We start from the raw sequence: 12167 nt of genomic DNA, 5'->3' as shown, positions 1-12167 counted from the left end.
AGAAAACATAGAGTTGTCAGTGATGGCTTAAAGTCCAATGATTAGTTCTTTGGAATAGACGAGTAACAGGCCAGACAAGAACAGAAATGCAGAAGTGTTCATTACTCTCCTGTGATTCCCCAAAAGGAAAACAAAGCAAAACTAACTTTTAACAAATAGTTAGTTTGATTAAAATAGACTTGATATTTGAATATGGAAAATTGATAAAAACAAATTTACACAGTGGTCGAAACCCTGAAGCCAAATTAGGGTCACCTGAGAAGTTTTAAACACTATCCATGCTGCAGGCCTCACCTGTAAGAGATTTTGACATAACGGATGAAGGGTGGGGTCCAGCATCAGAATTTTTTCAAAGTCCATTGAAAATTCTATTGCGCTGTCAGGAACCACTCTGAATGAACACCTTCCCTATTACAGCAAAGCCCACCATACAAAAATAAATAGCAATGAAAACCTATCCAATCAACATTATCCCACTCCCACGAGGGGAACAAATAATATAAACATTATAAGCTGGAAAATAGTAATAATAGTTAACCTTTATGCAGAGTTTATTGTGTGGCAAGCATTATTCTAAGGGCTTCTAATACACTGACCTTTTTATGCCTCACAACAGCTCTGTGAAGTTGGCACTATTTCATGCCTTTCTTCTGCAAAAATAGCTAGTAGTTGTAGAATGCTTAACACTGTGAGACATTACTCTGAATGCTGCTATTTGCATTGACTCGTTTAATCTTCATAACAGCTCTAGTGAGTAAGCACTGTTATTACAACAGGCTCTCTGTTGTAATAACATCCACATCAAAAGATATGGAAGGCCTATTGTTCTACACCATTTTATATAAGGAACTTTAGCATCCATAGATTTTAGTATCCATGGGGGTCTTAGAAACAATGCACCTCAGATATGAGGGCTGACCCATTGTAGACAGATGAGGAAACAAAGGCACAGAGAGGTCAAATAACTTGTGTAAGGCCACACAGCTAGTGAATGGCAAAACTAGAGTAAGAAGCCAGGTAATCTAGTGCTAAACTTAAAATACAAAGTCCTAGTTATTTGTGTGATTCAACAGGCATAAAATATATTAATATACAAGAAAATTACTAAAAATGTCTTTATTTTTCTCCTCTTCAAGGGATAGATATATAAACAAAAGAAGAGGCTTACTTAAGAAAACTCAAATAAGAATAATTTCGTCCTAGTTCTGAGAGAGGTACCAAAGTTGGACCCAACTAGAGATATTTCATGACCTACAATGAAAAAAAAACAATTTAGAAGGATGTCAGAGATGAGAAACCCAACTCTATATTAGATTTGAAACCAAGAGATCAGTAGGAAGCCTGACTCCTCCTTCTTATGCACTCCATGAAGACAAGGAAGGCATGTGTGTTGTTTACTGCTGATAAAAACTGCTCAATAAATACATTTGAGCAAATAAAATCATTTAGCTACATAAGATGTGAAATGACTGAATTCTAAGGCAGAACATTTTCAATTTATTTTAACACCATATTTTTTCATATTTTATGAGATACTCACGTATATTAAATATCCTTACTTCATATAACATTATTTCTGTACAATGGGTTATCAGATTATTAAAATACAGTTTTAATAAAAATGCCGATTTTTCCATTTTTTAATTTTTACATGAAAGTTTTACCTTAAAATTAAATTATTATTATAAAAGCAGACCTTTTAAATAATCATCTCAGTAGCTAGGTGACCACATTTCTAACCCAAGCTGTTTAGAATTCTCTGAACCTCTTCTGTGCTCCGCGGTTTGGGGGGCCATCCTGTCCTTACCTAGTTGGTTTCCTCCATTTGTGGTTGGTATATTTAATGTCTACCCTCCTCTTGATTAGCAAAGCATAACTATAGATCTGCCGTTAATCAACAATACAATAGCCACACTCTGGGTTCTCACCAGAGAATATGCATATCTCAAACTTCCTGTTGGGCAACCTCATATCAAACATTTGAGTGAGACATAACATCCTTGAAGGGCTCTTTGAAGAGTATGTTATATTTTAAAACAAAATCAAGCAAGGAACCAAATAATAGTACACTATGACCATAACTGTATTATCTCTAAGTTGAATTTCTTTTGTAGAATTGCCCTTTTCAGTTGTAGCCCTGGCTTCTATTGAGAGAATTATTAAGGAACATCCAAATTAAACCACGCTACTCTATTTATAAAAGTGGTGCTAAGGATGTGATCTGCTACATCCCTCACAACTTCCTTCTGTTCTCTAGGGGAGATTTCTCAGGTCTCAGTATCGAAAGAAGTTAGAGTTCTCTTTCATGCCAGGAAAACAGGAACCCAACATGTATTTTTATGGTTTTATCATATTTTCTGCATACTTTTCTCTTATTTCTTCACATTTTAATTGTATTTTACTATAAAGTATCTATATTAATATTACACATATTAATTTCTTTAAACCACCACTTTTTGAGACACAGAAACTCTACAAATAAACAAATAGCTTTGCAATAAAAAATAATGAAACTGAAAGAGATAATGACATGTTCAGATACCACTGACTGTGAAGAATGATTAGCATAGCTTTCAAAATTACAAAGGTTGAGTAAAACTTTTTAAATCTCAAAAAATTAATAAATGCATTTCGTTCATCTGTTACTTCAAAAATTGTGCCTGCTTATTTTTTAAACACATTATTTTGATTCAGTTAATTTAGAAACGTGTTATACACTTTCTAAGACAGAGTATCTTTAAACACAGATCACGACTCAAACCGATTTATATGTAGTTAAGCCTCAACTAGAATGTTGTTTAATGGTTAGGACAGTATTTAAGAGAACATTAGAATTGTGAAGAACTGCAACTCCTCAATTTTTCAGTTTACTTAGGCTTTTTTGTGGTTCAATAATATCAGATAATGACTCATGTAACTCAGCTGATTTTGTTTCTAATTTCAATGAATTTTTTTAACTGAAATGCCTGATTAACAGCTATACCTGGTGCAAAAATAACATGCTATAATAAAAATTAAATGCAATATAGTTATATAGTAGAATATATTTCTCTGTAATTTCAGCATAATTCACTAAATAGAAAAGAGACTAAAATAAATGTTTCCCAAAACATAGCTTTTTGGAGACTAAGACAAAGAAGGGGAAAGTAGGAAACTGACCTGGAATTATTTCAGGAAATTAGAATGTTTGTGATCAATTAAAGAGAAAGAATATTCAAAGTTTTTAAATTAATATGAGTATTTTTGTTATCACAGAGCTTATTTCGAATTGCCTGTAGGCATCTTCCAAACTTAACATTTTTCATAATTGTAGTAAATCATCTTCTTAGAAAGCATAAATTGTCACAATTTAGGTGATAAGACATCAGTTAGTGATAAAAATGAACTATCTAAGCCTACAACGCTTACCATATCATGCTTCTCCATCAACTCAGAATGCAATTTTATTTTGTATAATGAAGAAAACAGTGTGGAAGAAAAGAAGTTTTACAAAATCGATGCATGATGATTTCATCTGACAAGTGGGATGAGAGTGGGAAGAGTAGGTGTGAGAAGCTTACTGCTTTTAGTAAAGTTAAAAACTAAATTGTGACTGAATCAGACCAAGAAAAGATTTTGAAAGACTGAATTTTAAATCAAAATCCCTGTCTTATACTTTTTCATATATATGAATATACTTTGGGGGCATAAACATGTTCATGATTGAGTAAAATCAACATTAGAAAAGAGGGAAATTTGGCTGGGCGCGGTGGCTTACGCCTGTAATCCCAGCACTTTGGGAGGCCAAGGCAGGCAGATCACCTGAGGTTGGGAGTTCGAGGCCATCCTGACCAACATGGAGAAACCCCATCTCTACTAAAAAAAATACAAAGTTAGCTGGGTGTGGTGGTGCATGTCTGTAATCCCAGCTACTCGGGAGGTTGAGGCAGGAGAATCACTTGAACCTGGGAGGGGGAGGTTGCAGTGAGCCAAGATTGCAGCATTGCACTCCAGCCTGGACGACAAGAGTGAAACTCTGTGTCAAAAAAAAAGGGAAATTTATATGGAATAGGAAGCTAAGAAGGATGTGCAGCAGCCCTATAAGAATAACACAGATATTTTAACCTTAAAAATATGTTATTAAGAACTTATTGATAGTTCAGTTTCATATGGTACAGCTTTCTGATATTACTTACAAGCTCAGGAAAACACTTCCAGAACATATCCTTTTGTGAAATAATGTAATTTCCTAGGGTGTTTACAGACTTTAAGAAACTAAGATTGAACATAAAACATTCTAGTGTAAAATTATCACTTTAAGGAGTCTAATGAAAATCTAGTTAGTCTTATGAAATAATTTTTAAAACTACAGATAAATATTTTTACCAACATAGAACCCTGCTGTCTTTGAAATAACATTTAATTGAATGAAATAGATATCTTCTTTGGCTCTATTTTACTGCAAACATTAAAATGATAAATACAAACTATTCTTAAACTGACTCTTAGAAGAAATGCAAAACTCCTTCAAAGGGAGAAGAACAATAATCAGAATTAAAATTATTTTATGAATTGAATATAAGTGATCTTGTTAAAAACAAAATCAAAAAACAAAACTTTCAGTTCTGCTAATACACAAAATGAACATGAATGTATAAATAATTTTTAACAGTGAGAATATTTTTGTTATTTACTAAAAACATATCTATAATAAAATGTAACTATGTTATATGATATACAATTTTAATGGCCAAATTTGTAACATATTAACTCTTCCATAAATTAAAGTATTTTAAATATGCCTCTCAGTCTCACTGGAAAATCACTTCATTTTCTACAGAATATTATCATGAAACTTGCAATATGTGCATTATCTAGTTCAAAAGATCAAAACTTTTATGCCTATGTAAGCCAGGCAGGGAAAATAAACGTGAAAGAAGAGTCTTACAAATAATAAGAGGACATGAAGGGAACTGTAGATTGCCTGCCTCTGCTAAAGGTGTCAAAAAACAAAAACAAAAGCAAAAAACCTTAAAATACTCTATGTGCCAAACAGTGTTTAAGAGCCATATGCAGCCTCCCAAACTGCCAGATTGCAGCTCTAGAAAAGCAGTAGCCAAGATAGAGCTCAACCAAAAGTGTGATCTTTGCCAACAGGAGAGGCCAATAAATTCTAACACTTGCAGAGTGAATAGAATAGAATGCATGCTTCATTCAGTTAGTAATCTTTGCTTATAAAGTTTGAGGTATAACCCATGAAGTCTGTTGGTTATTAACATCTGCCATATGGCCTTAAAACAAGATGCCTCAATCCTAAGTGGGAAAGGGAGAATCTCAATTTAGACTCTCCAATGATCACAGGCACACAAAGAACCAGTCTGTATAAGGCTCACCCTCAACCAAAGGCCTCTTTATTCTGAACAGGTCAGACCATGCTGGAGGCCTAACTGTGATCTACTGTGGTCTGGGTGCACATCCAGTGATCTTTTAAGATATCTGGATTGGCCTATATGAGCACATTAATTTACTAGGAACCTGGTGAAAAGCAGTACATATCAAAATACATTTGAAATTTATTTTATCTATCACCAAGCGGAAGGAAATAGAAAAAGTGAGCAGAGAAGACAGAGAAAAAGAGCAAGAGACCAACAAGCAAGACATATTTCCCCAGACCACCTGGGCCTTATTGAGAGAAAGGCCAGAAGCTGCAGATCATTACCTCAAAGACCTGAGGTACACCAGGAGGAGGTTCCCACTGCCTTGAGAGACAAGCCCCTGGGTGTTCATGAGTTGACTGGAGAATGAGATACTACTCACTTCCTTCCCTACTGAAGATGCCAGAGAAATTCAAAAAAGGGGGCCATTGTTCTGGCAATTAATTTAGAAATCTATACTGTAATTTTTTTCCTTATGTAGATCTGTTTGGGATTCTTTATATATGTATATTAAATAATAACTTGTTAAGTAATATTTTCCACACAACATCCTCAAATTCAGTTATATATATCTTATACATATTAGGTGCAAAGACTGAAACAGATATTTGTAATGCATTTTTAAAACAGGTGTCCATATTTCATAGTAAGTTTTTTTGTTGTTGTTGTTTGTTTGTTTCTTTGAGACGGAGTCTTGCTGTCTCCCAGACTGGAGTGCAGTGGGCTATCTCGGCTCACTGCAAGCTCCGCCTCCCGGGTTCACGCCATTCTCCTGCCTCAGCCTCCCAAGTAGCTGGGACTACAGGCGCCCGCCACCACGCCTGGCTAATTTTTTGTATTTTTAGTAGAGACGGGGTTTCACCATGTTAGCCAGGATGGTCTCGATCTCCTGACCTAGTGATCCGCCCGCGTCAGCCTCCCAAAGTGCTGGGATTACAGGCATGAGCCACTGCGCCCAGCCCATAGTAAGTTTTACTAATACTGAATTCCTCATATTTCTAAAATACTGCAACATACTGGTTTCTTATTCTTTGCCAAAAAAAGCTTAACTCTCTGAGAATTTATTTTTTATTTTGACCCTTTTGATGTAAATGAATCACCCATCCATTACTAATGATTATTAAGTGAAATATATGAATCCATGTTGTATAATATAGTACGTGATATCTATAACATTAGAACAATAAAAACTAACATCTACTGAAAATTTACTATGTGACAGACACTACATTAAGGGCTTTACATGGATTATTTCACCTAATCTTTCCTGAAATGTATGAGATAAACACTCTTAAAATCTCCACTTTCAGTTGAATTACACACGACTTAAAGAAGTAACTTGCAAAAGACAATTAAACTAGTAAGTGTTAGGATGGTGGCTCAAACCCCAGTTCATATCCCGCTATTACCTTTCTCTCTCTTTCTCTTTTACAACATATTTTTAATAGTATATACAAACACAGAGAAAGTAATTTCAGTTTAGCAGTTAAGAAGAATACTAGAAGCTTCAATCCTGGATTTTTAAAAAATATAACTTATATTCAAGGAAACTATACAATTATATATTTTATTTAATAATTATTTCAATTCTCTTTTTATAAGATCTGTAAGCACGTTCACCATTTTTAAAAGATGACATTCTATCATGAACACTTCATCTATTCAAACTTAAAAATCATGAACATGCCACCTTAACAGGACTCTCAACTCTGAAAGAACTTTTGTTAGGAGGATAAACCAAAAAAAAAAAAAAAAATCCTAAAATTTGTGAAAGGCATAGATAAAAGAAATTTAAAAATTTACCAAAATTCTATCACAGATAGTGCTTTTAAAAGAACTATGGGAAAAAAAGTAATGATCAATTTCATAGCTTTTTTAATGAGCAGATGTAAAATCTCACCTTTACTGAGAATGCCAACCTGGAGTAGAATAGACCAATCTTTCTATATAATATGAACAGTATCATATATGGACACCATTTCCACTAACATAAAATCCAAATTAGAAAGTGAAGTATGGGATCTGTGAATGTTATAACCAGTTTAGCTGTGCCCCAAGTTACGTACTTAGGTGTCTCATGAAACATAGAACACAATCTAGTATTAAAATTTAGATATAATCTCTTTGTATATGTATCTTTACTAGTTTTGCTAACAATGCTTTTTCACATATCTCTTGGTAATAAAATTTACCATCATTTCTCTATATAAGACTTTTGAGATTTTTTATTAGAATTAAATCAATGCCTCCCTTAAATAAATACTGTTTAAATAGCTCCTTTAATGACTGAAATCCCAATACAAAGTAAATTCTATATAATAACTTAGCAAAACATAAAGTCAACAGTACTTATCTAGAAAATATTTTATAATGCTAGGAAAACATGTTGAGACAATTAGTTTAGTTTTATACGGATTCATAAGTCAGTGATGGTCAAGTGTCAGTCTAAATTCAAATGTATTACGAAAAGTTATGGAAAATGTTATATTCACCAGGTTACAGCCTGTAAGACTTGGAATCTCTTTTGTTTGCTCTTACATCAGTTAATAAAAGGATCTAAGATTGCACTTATTCTAATAGACAGGGTGCACATCTATAATATAACTTCTCTTCACTTTAACCAGAACAAAGGCCTATATTATAAATAAAATATTAAATCAATTTTTGAGCTCCCAATTTTTGTGCATATCTTACTGTCTTGAACATGAATGAATGGAATGCTAGGTGAAGACTAGGCCTTCACAGCAGAATCAATGAGAACTTGAAAAGAAGAACACCTAAACACTATCTTGGTTAAAATTTTATATATTATGTTAAGGTAATAAAGTATCCTATAAAACACAATAATTTCCCATCTATATTGTTAACTACAGGTGAGATTTTTTTACTTATCCACACAAATATTTTTTTACTTATCCATGCAAAGTAAATACCTGCAAAACAATAACAGCATGTAAACAAAATCAACTGAATATGTTCTCTGTATTGAATATTTTTGTCTTTTACTTTGTTTTATAACAAAGGAAGAAATATTTTATTGAGTTTATTCTAGATTACCTGTCTCTAAACTGTAATGTTTTTACATAAATTTTTATCCTAAAGGGTAGTTGTAGGATAGTTTTTACAAATTACCATTTTATTATCAAAAGAAATCAGCAACATAATCATTTCAAATTTTCATGCCTATTTCAAATGACTAATAAATTTTACTTTCTGTAATGTATAAAATATGTCCCCAAAGTATAAATACCACAAAGTATGAAAGAGAAAGCAAAATTAACTATAGTGAGACTACACTTACAATACAAAAAAAACAAATGAAACTGTGTGTTTGGTGACTTCACAGGGAACATATTTTCATAAAATGTTTCTTCTATACTAAGTGACATGAAAAGTTTGAAAACATAAGCAAAGGAGTTAAGATATAATTTACAAAGCTGTGCACTCCGTAGCTAAAATAATACTAAATTCCAACTACTTGAAAACCAAACTATACTAAAAACAATACATTATTTTAATGTTAAATAAATTTTTACTAAAATTATCTTTTAGGAAATCTATTTTAAATAAAATGTTATTACATTTCAAAATCAATTTCTGAAGAAAAAATCTCTAAGTATTTCATAAAAATGATCACGGCAATAAATAAATAGCTAAGATTATTTAAATAATGGTTCCTTTTCAGAAAATAGCATAAGAATAGACATAAACAAATTTTAGGGAACCTGTCAAAAATACTAAGCAGCTACTGCACACCATTTAAACTTCTGCTTTTTTCCAGACAACTCATTCCTTTTGTATGCCTAAGGAAATACAGTGATTGGAATTTTGTGAATACATCTACCATAAATGATACACTATTAGTTTACTTTTCTGATACTTTTAAAAATATGTTAAATTTCCACTGGAAAATATCCAAAGAAACTTCAGATTTTAACCATTTAAAAACAAAGAGATGCCATTACACACCTAACCAAAATAAAATAAAATAAAATAAAAAGGCACAGTACCAAATGCTAAAGGCTACAGCTAAAGAGAAGAGTAAAATTAAACCTCTTGTTAGAAAAGGGAAATAGATTCACATGTATATAAGCACCAATAAATCAAGCAGGGGAGGATATAAGCATCTTCCAGAGATGTGGCCATAAGTATAGGCCACTGCTTAAAGTTAAGGGGCATGCTAATAACAAAGTCTCAGACAGGCCTGACACCTAATGAGAAAGTTATCTCCCACTCTTGTATCCCTTAAGGGCTGCTACTATCACTTTCAAGTAAATACAAAGATACAGAGAGAATGAATAGAATCGCTGCCCTAGATTATAAAATGGCATGTATATGTACTATGTGAACATTTTCATCACAGCTCCATGCTTACCTCGTAAGACCAGACACACTGAGTCCCACCAAAACGGCGAACGCATCTTCCTACTTCCACATCCTCATGAGTCGTGTACATTTCTCTAAGGCATTCACCAATATGTGGCACCATCCTCCTGAGAACTTCTCGGCTAAAGATCATGCCAGGTCCTCCCATACAGAAGTTTTCCCCAGGCTCCAGTCCCAGCTTTCCAAGCTCTTCAATATTCCCCAGGCCAGTCTGTCCCAGGTAGAGAGGCTTACTGCTGTTTAGCGATCTAAGAAACTCTTCTAATTTATCACCTACAAAAAGAAAGGCAACAATTACTATGTCTCCTTATTTCATAATCACTTATCATGTACAAGGTAAGGGACAGAACTTTCAACATTGTGCTTAAAATCCTCAGTCTTACACAACTGAAAAGAAGAAAAAGCCTCTTCCAATACTCTATTATTTTTAAAAGACTAATTCATAGTTATTAATTTAAACATATTAAAATTGTACCAGCTTCTGGTTAAGGTCACTGAAAAACCTTAACAGCTCTGACAATCATCAATTTTCTGTAAAAAGTGAAATAATGACAAGGAAAGTAAAGACAGGTTTCTTAGTACATTTGAAGTAACAAGAAGTTCCCAGGAATATAAAATAATATTAAATACTGGTATTTAGCATTGTTTTGGCTGACTCTTAATACCTAATAATTATTTTTTACTCATAATTGGTTTAGTTCAGTGTTTTGCCATTAACTAAACTTCAGTCATATACAACCCGCACAGTTTTGGAGGATGTTTGAATCAAACCTGTCTTGAAATTTAATTTGGGAAGGCACCTTTTTAGAAAAAAGTTTGTCAAAAATTAGTGTAATTGGTTTCACTTGCAGTTTGTTAAGTTCAGAAAAAACGTTTAAAAATAAAATTTTGCAGCTAAAACAGTTGAGAAGCACTTGGTATTCCAAGTGATACATTGGAATAAGTAGAGAGTCACCTTCTTCATATTCCCAGTCAGCATCTTTACTACCATTTTTGATGAGCACAGCATCTGCAGTCATTATCTTGATCCCATGCCTTGCCCCGTGTATCTCAATGAGTTTCAGCTATTATTGGATTCTTAATTCAAAACACATTTCATTCTTAATAGAAATTGAAATAATATGTCATTTTAATGTTCTGAAGGACAATCTTTCAAAGTATTAAAACAAATGAAAGAAGTAGGTGCTGTTAATGCATTTTATAAATTCCCTGCAAAATGTGGCAAACTTCTGCCAGGAAACCTTTGTAATTTTGAGATATCCAAGGCAAGGAACTTAAAGTAGAGGAAGCTTTCTTCTTTGAGTCAATCCTAAATACCACTGTTAAAAATGTAATGAGACCATTCTTTATTTTTATATCCAATTATCAGTATTTTCTATTCCAACCTGCTCTAGAGTGACTTCCCTCCTTCCAATCCAAAGCCAAGAAATCTCTAGTTATTATGATTACACTAATTCCTTGTGCCAAAATGCAACAGTTTGGGTTTATTGTTTGGCTTTTTGTTCGTTTTTCTTGCATTATGTGAAAAGTACTATCCGAATCAGGAGGAAGCAATGAGGCTACGAGTAGAAAGGCATAAAATAAGGAAGGGCTGCCCCCCTTTGACCGGGAAGCAAGGAAATGTGGAAAACACAGAGAAACCTCATTCGGTACAACCCTGCTGCTTCCCTTGCGTTGCTCCCCATCTCAGCAACTGGCTGGACTGGAAAGATTCACTTCTCTGACCTAAAGAACTTTGATCCGCTGAGTTTAGAAATTCTCTGTCCAGAGCCGCCCACATTCCGGGAAAAAGACCGCGCCTCTTTTAAACTGACAAAAAAAGTTTTTTCTTGCTGTGGCTGCCTGTGGTTCTGGGAAGGACTTCCAGCCTCTGCTTATCACCGCGGCCAACAAAATGCACTGGAAAGGAACCAATACTAGTGTGTGCTAGTACAGTCTGCTGTTCCCAGGGGTCTGGCTTATTAGCGGGTGCTTTCCTCTTTTCCCCCACCACCAATTCCTTACAACATGCCCATCCTCTCAGGGTTTTATTGAGGTGTGGCGGGGGGATGGGGGACGGCTTGGTGCTGAACTGTAGCGGCTGGAAGGAGCAGCGCGCTGGCACGGTGGGGATGGCCAAGGACTCCCAGTATGTGGAGAGTTGAGCCAAAGGGAAGGGAACACATAGGAAAGGGTCCGGGACAGCGAAGACGATTCCTCAATCTGAGCAGTTCCAAAAGTGCGCTAGATCCAGTTTAAACAAAAGAGCAAGATCCAAAGCCAGAACACTGGATCTCCAGACTAGTTGTAGCTAGCATCCTCCGTCTTCCCTTCCTGAAGACCACGCCCCTCTGGACCGATTGGGGAAACTACCATCAGCAGGGGCTT

General features: G+C 34.4%; 1 protein-coding gene across 6 annotated transcripts in view; it reads right to left on the bottom strand.

The window, feature by feature from the left end:
• The window catches only part of CHSY3 (chondroitin sulfate synthase 3), a 282656-nt gene that overhangs the window by 268485 nt on the left and 2004 nt on the right, over positions 1 to 12167 (bottom strand). For all 6 annotated transcript variants that reach the window (XM_011543363.4, XM_011543365.4, NM_175856.5 and 3 more), the window contains exon 2: positions 9790 to 10073. In XM_011543363.4, the coding sequence (XP_011541665.1) occupies positions 9790 to 9948 (159 nt within the window). In that variant the 5' untranslated portion in view covers positions 9949 to 10073. The remainder of the gene's footprint in view (positions 1 to 9789; positions 10074 to 12167) is intronic.

The sequence above is a fragment of the Homo sapiens genome, chromosome 5 (assembly GCF_000001405.40).
Source record: "Homo sapiens chromosome 5, GRCh38.p14 Primary Assembly".
Lineage (NCBI taxonomy): Eukaryota > Metazoa > Chordata > Mammalia > Primates > Hominidae > Homo > Homo sapiens.
The sequence above is the reverse complement of the archived record's forward strand: the minus strand, read 5'-3'. Positions and strand labels throughout refer to the sequence as shown.